The 15,207-nt window shown below is 45.0% G+C and overlaps 1 protein-coding gene across 3 annotated transcripts in view; it reads left to right on the forward strand.

Moving 5' to 3' along the window:
- The window catches only part of MUC22 (mucin 22), a 29,451-nt gene that overhangs the window by 3,915 nt on the left and 10,329 nt on the right, over positions 1-15,207 (forward strand). Inside the window, exon 2 of one of the 3 annotated variants that reach the window (NM_001198815.1) lies at positions 804-910. In NM_001198815.1, the coding sequence (NP_001185744.1) occupies positions 841-910 (70 nt within the window). In that variant the 5' untranslated portion in view covers positions 804-840. Of the gene's footprint in view, positions 1-607; positions 911-15,207 lie in introns of those variants that run through there. The other 2 variants (NM_001318484.1, NM_001395414.1) reach the window with 2 other exon arrangements.

Here is a 15,207-nt window from a genome sequence, read left to right on the forward strand (position 1 = left end):
TAGTTCCGTGCCCCATCCTCTTCCCTACTCACTTCCGCTTGATACTAGAAGTGAGACTCACTCAGTGTCCACTTTCCCCACCCTTGGAGAGCTCACAGGGAGTGGAGTGTATCACTCACGTAGCCATGTGCTGCTCTGCAGCTGGGAAGGAGCACTCTGGAGAAAGCCGGGCGTGTGTCCTGATGCTCTTATCACCCTCCAAATCCCCAGCTTCCCCTAGATAGACTGCTATTGACCTTTACCATCCATTTGTTTCCTTTTCTTCTCTTCTTCCTTCTTTCTTCTACAAAGGCCTCCTGCTTTGAAAATGAGGCATACCCAGGGAAAACAGGTTTCAGGTCAGCTCTGGTTCAAAGGGTGGGTCCCTTCCACTCCGACAAGTTTGATCCCCTCATTCTGCCTCCCTCCCTGCCCCTCCTCATGTGTGCGCCCTCTGGTCTTGCCGACTCTGCTCTCTCCTCCGCCTTGATTCCTGTAGGGTACATCTCTCCAAACGGCCCTGCAGAAAGCACAGCGCAGAAATGCCCCTCCCTGGGGAGGGAGGACCCAAAGTTCTGGCCTCCCCTACTCAGTATCAGCTATAAATGCCACAGACACGTTTGCGAGGAAAAAAGAAGAAAAATAAGAAGCCAAACTGTGGAGCAATTTGGGGGCTCCCCCCAACCATGCCATCTGCCTACAAGGCTTACCCTGGCACTGGCTGGCCTTTGGGTCTTTTTGTGCAACTTTATTTTCTATCAAGGCCCAGGGGGTTTGCCCCTTGTCTCTCTGCCTCTTTGACCTATCCTTCCTTTGGAACCCAGGCATCTAAATGACAACTTCTATGTGCATCATTTAGAGATGAGAAGAGGAAATATCTCTCCTGCTTTCTGGTTCCTGTGGCTGCTTCTCTTTGGACTTCTGGGACCCAGTAAGTGACTTAGCAGTTAAGGAGGGAGAGGGGCATGGAGGCCACATAAGCCCTGAAGGAGATGGGGAATCCCCTGCCCAGGCATGACTCTTCTTCCAGAAACAATGATGATTCATTTTTTTTTTTTTTTTTTTGCCCATTTCTGCAAAAGCCAGTACTGATCCCAATTCCACTGACCATGATTCTGATGCTGTCTTAGAAGCAAATCTGTATTAGTCTCCCCCAGCTGTGGTTGTGAGCACATGTGGTGGGGCGGTGGGGCGGTGCTGGGGAAATGGAGGGGGGTGAGATTTTACTTTCCTTTGTATCTTGGATAAAAGTTTTTTTTTTTAACCGGAAAACTCTAGTTCCAATAGCATTCTTAATTCCAAATTAAAACCAGGATCTCAGTCTAAAGTCAAGTAAAAATCCTTCAATCCTTCTTTGTTTTTTTTCCATAGGTTATTTGGGTACAGGTGATATTTGGTTATGTAAGTGCTTTATTGGTGAATTGTGAGACTTTGGTGCACCCGTCACCAAGCAGTGTACACCGCACCCACCCTATCTGTAGTCTTTTATCTCTCGTGCCTCCCCCGTCCTTCCTCCCTAGTGCCCAAAGTCCACTGTATCATTCTCATGCGTTTGAGTCCTCACAGCTTAGCTCCCACCTATCAGTGAGAACATACGATGTTTGGTTTTCCATTCCTGAGTAACTTCACTTAGAATAATAGTCTACAGTCTCATCCAGGTCACTGCAAATGCCATTAATTCATTCCTTTTTATGGCTGAGTAGTATTCCATCGTATATATATGCCAGTTTCTTTATCCACCGTTGATTGATGGGCATTTGGGTTCCATGACTTTGCAATTGTGAATTGTGCTGCTATAAACATGTGTGTGCAAGTGTCTTTTTTGTATAATGACTTCTTTTCCTCTGGGTAGATACCCAGTAGTGGGATTACTGGATCAAATGGTAGATCTACTTTTAGTTCTTTAAGAAATCTCCACACTGTTTTCCATAGTGATTGTACTAGTTTACATTCCCACTAGCAGTGTAGAAGTGTTCCCTGATCACTGCATCTACGCCAACATCTACTGTTTTTTGATTTTTTGCTTCAACCCTTCTTCGGATGCTGCCTGATTCCAAATCCATGTATAATCCCCTGAGAACTTCCCTGGTAGAAACAAACCGGAGTTCGGCCACTGAGGGGTTGGCTCTGACATTGGATCAGCAATGGCTGTGAAAGGAAACAGCCCAGGGGAGAAGTGAATTGGGCTCCGTGTGACTCCAATGGGCTGTCTGAGATAGTACTGTTCACTCCAGTCTTTGATTTCTTACATCAACATATCTTCCCTAATTATGAGACACCAGGTTAATTGGCTCATCCATTCCATTGCCTTTACTGTAGGATGGCTCGTCAAGAAGTGGGAGGTGCGGTTGAAAGAGAAGGTATAGGTTGGATGATGTGGAGGATTTGGAGTGCTTCCCCCTTCTTCCTCAGTATGCATCTGTTTCCTGCACCCCACTCTGGATTCGCTCCCTCGCCCGCTTCAGCACTTCCCTCGGCGTTCTTTTTCTTCTCTTTCCCCTTGCCTTCACCCTGAATGCTTCAACTGTTCTCTACCTACCCATGCCTTCCAGATCTGCCCGTCGCCTGTCCTAATCCTGAACTCCAGTCCTATCTGTCTGATTTTAAACAAGAGTCCCCTTACCTCAGAAGAAACTGTCATTCATGTAGTCATTCAACAAACATTTATAGAGCTCCTCCTCTGGGCCAGGCACTGCTGCGTGCTAGGCCATGGTGAGGAATGGAGTGGGAAATGCCATGGTCTTGACCCCCATGGAACACTTGGTCTACTGTAAAACATAGACTTAAATAATATTTCCTAACAAAAGGGAGCAAGTGTGCAAGGGCTGAAAGGCCCCTCCTCTTTTCCTACCACTAGATCTATAAAGTAACCAACAGTGTCTCCTGTAGCCCCATTACAGTGGATTAGCAAGGACCAACTCCTCCATCTGAATGCTGGGCGCCGTCTCACCCTCCTGCCGTCTCAGGGGCTTTGCTCAGTGCATTTCTCCTTCCCCTCCCATCTCACTTTACCTTTCTTGGGTCCTTTCCATCAGCATCCAAACAAGCTCAGTTCTGTATGCACAAGTATCATCCAAGGAGACGATTAAAAACTTGGGTTTCCAGGCCCTGACACCCCACCAAGCAAGATCTTGATTCAGTAAGCTTGGTGGGATGGCGTGGGTTCTTCAGACAGTGTGATCCCAGAGGTCCCTGGACCAAACACTGAATGATGTCCATCCTAACGTCCCCGCATCACTCCTCAGCCACCACCTCTCCCTCCACTCTCCTCCTCACCCCCATTCTTTTTTTTTTTTTTGGAGATGGAGTGTGGCTCTGTCGCCCAGGCTAGAGTGCAGTGCTGCAATCTCGGCTCACTGCAACCTCTGCCTCCCAGGTTCAAGCGATTCTCCTGCCTCAGCCTCCTGAGTAGCTGGGACTACAGGCGCACACCGCCACGCCCAGCTAATTTTTTGTATTTTAGTAGAGACGGGGTTTCATTGTGTTGCCCAGGCTGGACTCGAACTCCTGAGCTCAGACAATCTACCCACCTTGGCCTCCCAAAGTGCTGGGATTACGGGTGTGAGCTACCGGGCCTGGCCCCTCACCCCCATTCTTGAAGGACTTCCCCACACTTGCTATGTCACTTCTCACCTCCCACTCACTTGTTTATTTTATTTTATTGTATTAGGTAATGGATGTAAGCAGTTCTGAAAAAGAAATACTTGTAGTCCTACAAGGCTTCTCATAAAACTTCAGCCCCTGATTCCCTTGCCCCAATTGCTTCTTATTCTGAGTCCTGCTTCCCAGGGTTCCTGTTGGCATTTACGTTCATACTGCATTTATCTATTTATTTAGAGACAAGATCTCACTCTGTCACCCAGGCGGGAATGCAGAGACACCATCATAGCTCACTGCAGCCTGGTACTCCCGGGCTCAAGGGATCCTCTCACCTCAGCTTTCCAAAGCACTGGGATTACAGGCGTGAGCCATTGCACCCGGCCATAAATTCTCTTACTACCATTACTTCTTTGTTGGTTGAGGTTTTTTGGGTTTTTTTTCCTGCTTTGGGCATGATTTATTGTCTTCCTTCTAATGAAAAGAAAGATTTAGGTTAGACCACTCCCCCTACACACTTACTGTCTCACATTCCCGCTCACAATTCTCCCCAAATGACTGTATCAAATTTTTGGTGTTAAACTAGCATTTAGTGTTTACATTATGATAACTATAAATTTTACCTCTAGTAACATTTATAACTGGGTCATATAATTGCATTGTGATGACATTATAATAAGTATAAATGACCTCTAGTAACATTTATAACTGGGTCATATAATTGCATTGTGATGACCATCCGTTCTTGTAATTTTTGTTTTTCTAGATATTAATAATAGCCTCATTTTTAAAATGTCCATAGTTTTCTTCATATATGTAATTAATTCATCCCAAAACCTCCACCAGAAGTATCCCTGTCTTTTCCAAACACATGAGGCAATCTATCAGTTTCACTTTTTTCCCTTGAGCAATCCCATTTGGAAGCCTCTGTCCAACCAGAGCAATCCCATTTAGAAGCCTCTGTCCAACCAGTACTGGTTGCTTGCTAGATCTCTTGTCCTGCAATCTGTATTCAGCAACATTCTGGAAATTCCCTTTTTTCCCTTGTAAATTCTTATCTTTTTTCTGGCTTTATTTTTCCATCTTGGAGCATCACTTTCTCTAGAAGCTTCCTGAGAGAGAGAGTTTATGGTGGGAAATTATTTTAAAACCTTATGCACTGTTAGGGTAATGCTAAGCTGCTGTAACAAGGAGATCCCGAAAGTGGCTTTGAAAAACAAGTTTATTTTTCTCCCTTGTACCAGTCCTAAGGTAAGTATTATAGGATGGTGGGAGCTCTGCTCCATGCAGTCATTCAGGGATCCTGGGTGAATATGGTTCTTCCGTCTTCAACATATGGTTTCCAGTGTCATCATCATTTCAGCCCAAGGAGAGGGAAGAAAAACAGTATTTTGTATTATTTTATGATACAGTCAGTCAAAGTGCAGCCACAAGAGGAGAGGCTTACAGGCCCTAGAGACAGGAGGCATGGCACTGCCATGCGGGACCACCTGAGAAAGACATCAAGGTAGTCAGGAGGCAGAAGACAGGAGTGAAGGAAAGATTTATGTCTTTCCTTTTATTGGGTTTCTGTGGGAAAGGCAAGGAAAGGCAGGGTGAACAGTTTAGGATTGGCTGGTTTGAATAATTCCTGTGTTCTTTGAGCTATATGGCTGATTACCACCTAGTTGCCTAGTACTTGACTTTGGAATGACTAAGGCAGATAAATATTGTTTCCTGGAGTATATGGGCCAGATAGAGGAGCTATGGCTCTGGAATGGTTAGTCTGCATATCAGCTCATGCTCCTGGCTGGACCCTTTGCTACTTTTAAGAATTGGCTAGCCCTGGAAGGTCCTGTCTCTCCCTAGCTAGAAAAGTTTGTTAAGATGTCAAAACATGATAATATACAGAAATTAAAAATATATATACAAGCAGAAATCAAGGAATAGGTATTTACTCTTAAAGAAATGAAGTGGAAATTAATATGTATTCCTTCCCTTCAGGGGCCTCTGACTAGGGCTTAGACATGTAGCCCTACCTAGCTACAAGAGAGGTTGACAAATGTAACTTAGCCATGTGCCCAGGAAGAAGAGAAAAATGGGCCCAGCTGTCCATAGACCTTATACATCTGAAAATGTCTTATTCCACCCTCACATTTGACTCATAGTTTAGCTGGTTATAGAATTCTAGGATGGATATGATTTTTCTCAGGATTTTAAAGGCGTTGATCCACTATTCCTAGATTCTAGATTGTGAAGTCTGATATTTAGATTACTGACCTCTTGTAAAAGACCCATTCTTTTTATTCTGGAGGATTTCAGATTTTTAAAACTACTGTTCTAAAATCTCATGATATGGTGTCATAGTATGGATTCTTTCATTGTGTTAGGAATTTGCACAGTAGAAAGTTGTATCAGTCAGTTCTGGGAAATTTTATTGCATTTTTTTCTTTGATAATTGCCTCTCGTCCATTTTCTCTGTTCTGTCTTTCTGAAAAAATCTTATAATTTGGATGTTTGACCTCCTGGGCTGACACTCTAATTTTCTTATATTTCTTCTTCTGTCTTCCAACTCTGTCGTTTTATTTTTCTTCTGGGGAGATTTCCTCAGCTTCTAAAGTCTTCAAATCCTTCTAGTGAATTTTGAGGTTTTTTTTTTTCAAAGAGATCTTTTTTTTCTCTACAACCATTTTTAAGATGGCATCTCTTACTTTTTTTTTTTTTTGTGGGTGCTATACTTTCTCTTATATTGCTGAGGACATTTGAAGTTGGTTTTGCTGTTTGCATTGTCTCAGTTCTCTCTGGCTTTGCTTCATAGGGATATTTGTTTTGGTCTCTATATTTCAAGCTAGAGATTTTTCTCAAATATCTGGTAATCCCAGAATGTCCTTTGCATTTGAGTGAGGCACTAATATGATGCCTGGAAGCTCTGTGAGCAGGGGTAGGGCCTGTCAACTGGTGGACTTAGCTTTAGGGTAATTTAGCAGAGACGTGGCAGTTTAGATTGGGAAGATCCTCAAAATGTCAGTATCTAGTGTTGGCTAATTTCTTTCCACAAGAAGAATTCTCCAGATCCTGTCTAGAGCATACTAGCATAGCTGCTGAAGTGCTGGAAGCTGAGCAAGGGAATAGGTAATGTGGGTTTTACATTTCAGGGTGTAAGCATTTCCTTAATTGCATAGTTTCAGTAAAACCTTTTGAGAGGTGACAGGGTGCTGGCAGCCCTCGCTCAGTCTCGGAGCCTCCTCGGCCTCGCCACCCATTCTGGCTGCGCTTGAGGGGCCCTTCAGCCCCCCGCTGCACTGTGGGAGACCCTCTCTGGGCTGGCCGAGGCCGGAGCCAGCTCCCTCAGCTTTCAGGGAGGTGTGGAGGGAGAGGCACGGGCGGGAACCCGGGCTGCCTGCGGCACTTGCGGGCCAGCACTAGTTCCAGGTGGGCGTGGCCTCGGGGGGCCCCACACTCTGAGCCTCGGGCTGGCGTGGCCAGCACAGCTGGCCCCAGGCAGTGAGGAACTTAGCACCCGGGCCAGCAGCTGCGGAGGGTGCGCCAGGTTCCCCAGCAGTGCCAGCGGGTGCTGCGCTCCAATTCTCGCCGGACCTCAGCTGCCTCCCTGAGGGGCACGGCTTGGGACCTGCAGCCCGCCATGCCTGAGCCTCCCCCACGCCGCCATGGGCTCCTGTGCAGCCAGAACCTCCCAGACGAGCGCTGCCCCTTGCTTTGCGGCACCCGGTCCCATAGACTGCCCAAGGGCTGAGGAGTACTGGCGCACGGCGTGGGACTGACGGGCAGCTCCATCTGCGGCCCAGGTGCGGGATCCACTAGGTGAGGCCAGCTGGGCTCCTGAGTGTAGTGGGGACTTGGAGAACCTTTATGTCTAGCTAAGGGATTGTAAATACACCAATCAGCACTCTGTGTCTAGCTCAAGGTTTGCAAATGCACCAATCAGCACCCTGTGTCTAGCTAATCTGGTGGGGACTCGGAGAATCTTTATGTCTAGCTAAGGGATTGTAAATACACCAATCAGCACTCTGTGTCTAGCTCAAGGTTTGTAAACACACCAGTAAGCACCCTGTGTCTAGCTAATCTGGTGGGGACTTGGAGAATCTTTATGTCTAGCTAAGGGATTGTAAATACACCAATCAGCACCCTGTGTCTCGCTCAAGGTTTGTAAACATACCAATCAGCACCCTGTGTATAGCTCAAGGTTTGTAAATGCACCAATCAGTGCTCTGTGGGGACTTGGAGAACTTTTGTGTCTAGCTCAGGGATTGTAAACACACCAATCAGCACCTTGTCAAAACAGACCAATCAGCTCTCTGTAAAACCAATCGGCGCTCTGTAAAATGGACCAATCAGTAGGATGTGGGTGCCACCAGATAAGGGAATAAAAGCAGGCTGCCCTGAGCCAGCAGTGGCAATCCGCTTGGGTACTCTTCTATAGTGTGGAAACTTTGTTCTTTCACTCTTTGTGATAAATATTGCTGCTGCTCACTCTTTGAGTCCACACTGCGTTTATGAGTTGTAACACTCACTGCGAAAATCTGCAGTTTCACTCCTGAGGCCAGTGAGATCACGAACCCACCAGAAGAAACGCCGAACACATCTGAACATCAGAAGGAACAAACTCAGGACACACCACTTGTAAGAACTGTGACACTCACGGCGAGAGTCCACGGCTTCATTGTTGAAGTCAGACCAAGAACCCACCAATTCTGGATACACTTTCACTCCTGCCTTCAGCAGTGCCTGGGATTACTGATCTAGAGTTTCTTTGGTTTCAGTATCTCCAGAGATAAAACCCTAAGCTGTTAAAAGGAAGAGAGGTGTATTCATCCAAGTGCTTGAGTGGAAGGAGTGATCTGGAGCTGAGAGACAGTTCCTAGCTACATTGTATTTCAACTATCCTTCCTGTATTTAGTCACATGCCACACCCAAATCTTTAGAGGAACCCAGTTGCAATTCCCGAATCTTTCCAGGATTCCACAGAATTAATAATCTACCAGTAGTTGACTTACTCTCACCCCCAATGGAGGCCTGTATGTTGAAGCTTTCTCTGTTGTGTTGGAGAGTTACCACTCATCTGCCTATTACCTTCAAAAAAACAAAAATATCTCCTCTGCTGTTATCTCTCCATCGTTTGTCCTTGTGGAGGTATGTGTTTTGTTATTTCTCTACTTTTTATTCTTCTATGAAATCCGTAAGCCTCCATATATACTTATTCTTTTATTCATTCCAATTGGGGTCTACCCCATCATGCAAATCTGTTTTCAATAAACTAAACTCACTTCCATATTGTCTCTGAATCCAATGGACATGGCCCAGGCCATATCTTACTTGATCTCTCTGCAAAAATCAATTCAGTTAACTGCCATATTTTTCTAGAGCCTCTCTATTCTCTTGACTTCCTTGATTCACTTTTTAGAGTTTTCTTTCTGCCTTAGTGGATGCTCCTTCTCAGTCTCATTCATTTGCGTCTCCTCCTCTATCTGAGTGATGCAGTGGCCAGAGCTTGGTCCAGCGCCCTATTCTCCAACATACTCTCCCAGACAAGCGATCTCAGTCAGCTTCATGGCTTTAAATACAATGTATATTTAAATGACTTCCAGTTTCACGTCTTTTGATCTGATTTCTCCTCTAAGAACTAAGTGCAGGTTTCCAACTGCCAACAGTCTCCTGGATATCTAATGGGCACAAAAAGTTCAAAGTCTAATATTTCCAACTTCCACTTCATCCCTATTCATTCAGATAAATAGAACTAATTTCCAACTCTGCGTAAGCCCCAAAGCTAGAAGTTGTTCTTGACTTCTTTTCGTGTCATCCACCACATGCAGCCTTTCAACACTTCCTATTGGTTCTACTTTTCTAATTTCAAAACATAGCTTGTATTCATCCACTGAAAGGTATCTCCCCTGCTACCATCCTAGTTCAAGCAATAATTACTGCTCTTAATTTTTTCACTCTTGCCCTCCTACATGCCCGTTTTCACACAGCATCTTTTAAAAACATAAATCAATTTTGTTTTCTACTTTCTCTTCCCTTCCTGAATGATTAAGCCCCAGATCATTAGGTGAGGCAGAGCAAAGCAGATATCAGGGTTGGACAGGAGGGGAGACAGCAGTGGCCCAGAGAAGGATATAAGAAACTGAACTGGGCCGGGTGCGGTGGCTCACGCCTGTAATCCTAGCACTTTGGGAGGCTGAGGTGGGCAGATCACCTGAGGTCAGGAGTTCGAGGGCAGCCTGGCCAACATGGCAAAACTCTGTTTCTACTAGAAATACAAAAATTAGCTGGGTGTGGTAGCGCATGTCTGTATTTCCAGCTACTCAGGAGGCTGAGGCAGGAGAATCCCTTGAACCCGGGAGGTGGAAGTTGCAATGAGCCGAGATAGCACCACTGCACTCCAGCCTGGGTGACAGAGCAAGAAACTAAATTGGATGAAGTGGACTTCTCCACAGAGTGGCAGCCTGGCATGTTTTGTCAGAATCTTGTGAGGGTGAGAGGGAGTATGGGGTGGAGGGAGTATGGGCTGAAAATGAATGAATAGAATACCAGTGATTTTGTGAGACAATGTTTTGTCTGCAATATGTATTATTGAAGTTCCAGAAAAAAAGGGAACCGAAAACATGTTTAAAGAAATAGTAGCTGAAAAAATTAAATTTGATGAAAACTATAAACTCACAGATCCCAAGAACTCAACAAATATCAAGCAAAATAAACTTTAAAAAATCATACCAAAGTACAACGTAATCAAATAACTAAAAATCAGTGATAAAAGGGAAATCCTAGAATGAGCTAGAAAAGACACATTGTATAGAGAGGAGCAAAGACAAGCATAACAGACTTCCTGTGAAAAACCATGACAACCAGAAGATAAAGAAGCAACATCATTAAAATACTGAAAGAAAAAAATACTTTATCAACCTAGAATTACACGGAGTAAGAATATTTTCAATATGAAGATGAAATGAAGGCTTTTCTAGACAAGCAAAAACTGGAAGACCTTGCCTCCTGGAAATTGACTTTTTTTTTTTTTTTTTTTGATACGGAGTTTCGCTCTTGTTGCCCCAGGCTGGAGCGTAATGGCACGATCTTGGCTCACTGCAACCTCTGCCTCCCGGTGAGAGGTGACAGCGTGCTGGCAGTCCTCAGAGCCCTCGCTTGCTCTCAGCACCTCCTCTGCCTGGGCTCCCACTTTGGCGGCACTTGAGGAGCCCTTCAGCCCACCGCTGCACTGTGGGAGTCCCTTTCTGGGCTGGCCGAGGCCAGAGCCGGCTCCCTCAGCTTGCAGGGAGGTGTGGAGGGAGAGGTGCGAGCGGGAACCGGGACTGTGCGCGGCGCTTGCGGGCCAGCTGCAGTTCCAGGTAGGCGTGGGCTTGGCGGCCCCGCACTCGAAGCAGCCAGCGGGCCCTGCAGGCCCCGGGCAGTGAGGGGCTTAGCACCCGGGCCAGTGGCTGCGGAGGGTGTACTAGGTCCCCCAGCAGTGCCGGCCCACTGGCGCTGCACTGGATTTCTCACTGGGCCTTAGCTGTCTTCCCATGGGGCAGGGCTGGGGACCTGCAGCCCGCCATGCCTGAGCCTCCCACCCCCTCCATGGGCTTCTGTGCGGCCGGAGCCTCCCCGATGAGCGCCGCCCCCTGCTCCAGGGCGCCCAGTCCCACCGACCGCCCACGGGCTGAGGACTGTGAGCGCATGGCGTAGGACTGGCAGGCAGCTCCACCTGCGGCCCCGGGGCGGGATCCACTGGGTGAAGCCAGCTGGGCTCCTGAGTCTGGTGAGGACGTGGAGAGTCTTTATGTCTAGCTTAGGGATTGTAAATACACCAATCAGCACCCTGTGTGTAGCTCAGGATTTGTGAGTACACCAATGGACACTCTGTATCTAGCTGCTCTGGTAGGGCCTTGGAGAACCTTTATGTCTAGCTCAGGGATTGTAAATACACCAATCGGCACTCTGTATCTAGCTCAAGGTTTGTAAACACACCAATCAGCACCCTGTGTCTAGCTCAGGGTTTGTGAGTGCACCAATCAACACTCTGTATCTAGCTGCTCTCGTGGGGCCTTGGAGAACCTTTATGTCTAGCTCAGGGATTGTAAATACACCAATCGGCACTCTGTATCTAGCTCAAGGTTTGTAAACACACCAATCAGCACCCTGTGTTTAGCTCAAAGTTTGTGAGTGCACCAATCGACACTCTGTATCTAGCTGCTCTGGAGGGGCCTTGGAGGACCTCTGTGTCCATATTCTGTATCTAACTAATCTGATGGGGACGTGGAGAACCTTTGTATGTAGCTCAGGGATTGTAAACGCACCAATCAGCACCCTGTCAAAACAGACCACTCGGCTCTACCAATCAGCAGGATGTGGGTGGGGCCAGATAAGAGAATAAAAGCAGGCTGCCCGAGCCAGCAGTGGCAACCTGCTTGGGTCGTTTTCCACACTGTGGAAACTTTGTTCTTTTGCTCTTTGCAATAGATTTTGCTACTGCTCACTTTTTGGGTCTACACTGTTTTTATGATCTGTAACACTCACCGTAAAGGTCTGCAGCTTCACTCCTGAAGCCAGCGAGCCCACGAGCCCACTGAGAGGAAGGAACAATTCCACACGCATGGGCTTAAGAGTTGCTAACACTCACTGTGAAGGTTTGCAGCTTCACTCATGAGCCAGCGAGAGCACAAACCCACCAGAAGGAAGAAACTCCGAACACATCTGAACATCAGAAGGAGCAAACTCCAGACATGCCACCTTAAGAGCTGTAACACTCACTGTGAGGGTCTGTGGCTTCATTCTTGAAGTCAGTGAGACCAAGAACCCACCAATTCCAGACACACTGGGTTCAAGCGATTTTCCTGCCTCAGCTTCTCGAGTAGCTGGGATTACAGGCATGTAATTAGCCACACCATGCCTGGCTAATTTTGTATTTTTAGTACAGATGGGGGTTCTCAATTTTGGTTAGGCTGGTATCGAACTCCTGGTGATCTGCCTGCCTCTGCTTCCCAAAATGCTGGGATTACAGGCGTGAATCGACAGGCAAGACTGACATTTTTTTTTAAATGTAAAAGTTCTTCAGGAAGAAAAAATTTAGATCTATGCAAAAAAGAATGAAGTGTGCTGGAAATGATAAATATATGGGTAAAAATAAAATTTTTTTCATTTAAATTTTAAAAGATAATATACTTGAGTAATAATGAATTATGAGGCTTATATGTAGACATAAAATGTATGACAACAGTGGTACAAGGGATAGAAAAAGGAAATGGAAGTGTACTGTGTTGAGACTCTCATGCCTTTACAGGAAGAGGAATGAGCTCACTGGGAGGTAGACAGTGATAAAGGTGTATATCGTAAATCCTAGAGCAAAGGCACACAAATAAGAATGATATTTAATAAGCTAATGGTGGAAATAAAATGGGGTCAAAAATGACTCAGGTCATGGTGCAGCGGTTTATGCCTGTAATCCTAGCCCTTTGGGAGGCTGAGGCAGGTGGATCACTTGAGGCCAGGAGTTAGAGACCAGCCTGGGCAACGTGGTGAAACCCTGTCTCTACTAAAAATACAAAAATTAGCTGGGCGTGGTGGCGCATGCCTGTGGTTCCAGCTACTCAGGAGGCCGAGGCAGGAGAATCACTTGAACCTGGGAAGTGGAATTGGCAGTGAGCTGAGATCCCATCACTGCACTCCAGCCTGAGTGACAGATCAAGACGCTCAAAAAACAAAACAAAACAAAAAACAAAATACTGGGTTAATTAAAAAAAAAAAAGGCGAAAAATGGAGGAAAAGGTAAGAAGATCAGACGAGAAAAATAGAAAACAAATATGAAGACTATTAAATTCAGGGCCAGCTACAGTGGTTCACACTTGTAATTCCAGCACTTTTTGGGGCTGAGGCAGGAAGATTACTTGAGCCCAGGAGTTCGAGACAAGCCCAGGCAACATAGGGAGACCCCATCTTTACAAGAAATAAAAATTAAAAAGTAATTAGCCAGGCATCATGACTCGTGCCTGTGATCCTAGATAGTTCGGAGGCTGAGGCAGGAGGATTTCTTGAGCTTAGAAAGTCAAGGCTGCAGTCAGCCGTGATTGTGCCACTGCATTATAGCCTGAGTGACAGAGCAAGACTCTGTCTCTAAAAAAGAATCAGACCCAACGTATTTATAATTACATTAAATGTATATGGTCCAGACACCACAATTAAAAGGCAGAGATTGACACATTGGTTAAAAAAGAAAGCCCCAAATAAATAATATTCAACCAAGAAATACATTTTAACTAACTATAACTACAAATAGGGTAAACAATAGGATAAAAATAAGAGGAAGAAAGATACGGCCATACTGTATGTTAGCCATGCTAACATCAATTTAGAAAAAAATTGAGTGACTATTTCAAAATCAGACAAAATAGGCTTAAGAAGAGGTATATTATTAGGGATAAAGAGAGACATTTCATAATTATAATCACAACACAATATTTACTAACTACAAAGGGAGAAAAACCAGCCTGGATACACCTTCTTAATCAAGTAATCCAAGAGAACATCATCAATGATGGGACACATTGATATTATCTGTCACCTGATAGTATGCAAAGAGAAGAATACAGCATCACTTCAGTGGTTTTCCTGGCAAAGATTAATAACATGAGCCTAATCATGATGAAACATTACAAAAACTCAGTTTAAGGAAAATTCTATAAAATAATTGACCTGTAATCTTCAAAGGTTAAAAGTTATGAAGATCAAAGGAAGACTGAAGAACTGCACCAGACTGAAGAAGACTAAAGAGACAGAACAACGAAAAACAACACACGATTCTGAATTGAACTGGTTTACTATTAAAGACATTATTAGAACAACTAACAAAACTTGAAAGGGATCTAAGGATCAGGTGGCAGCAATATATTCATGTGAATTTCTTGATCTTGATGGCTGTATTATGGTTGCGTATGAGAATATATAAAGTATTGAAGGATAATGAGACAGATTCAGGGAAAAGGGTTCTTTGTGTTATACTTGTTACAAAAGAATTTGTGATTTTTTTTTTCAAAATAAAAACAAAGAGAAATTAACCAGAGTATGTTATTCCAGTGGGTCTTCATTGTATTTGAGATGAAATTTAACCTTTCTACCATGGTATTTTGCTAAACTCTGAGTATACCCCTGTCAGCAAAAGAAATGTGGGCTTATGTTCTTGTAAAGAAGAGTTTAGAATATAAAGAATGTAAATACACCTTTGGGTTATGTGTTGTTAAAAAGGCAGGGGTCCTGCTTCAGAGATTATGGTTAGAAAAGGTCTCTCTACCGCCTCGTTTTCTCCTTCAGTAACTACATTCCAGCCACCCTGGTCTCCTATTTATTCATGAATCACATCGAGCTCATTAACAACTCAGGGTATTTGTACTTATGCTATCAATCTGTGATGTCCTTCTCCTGGCCTTTCAAATTGCTGCCTTCTTTTTTTTTTTTTTTTTTAAGATGGAGTTTTGCCCTTGTTGGCCAGGCTGGAGTGCAGTGGTGCAATCTTGGCTCACTGCAACCTCCGCCTTCCGGTTCAAGTGATTCTCCTGCCTCAGCCTCCTGAATAGCTGGGATTATAGGCATGCGCCACCATGCCTGGCTAATTTTGTATTTTTAGTAGAGATGGGGTTTCTCCATATT

This window comes from Homo sapiens, chromosome 6, assembly GCF_000001405.40.
Source record: "Homo sapiens chromosome 6, GRCh38.p14 Primary Assembly".
NCBI classification, from domain to species: domain Eukaryota; kingdom Metazoa; phylum Chordata; class Mammalia; order Primates; family Hominidae; genus Homo; species Homo sapiens.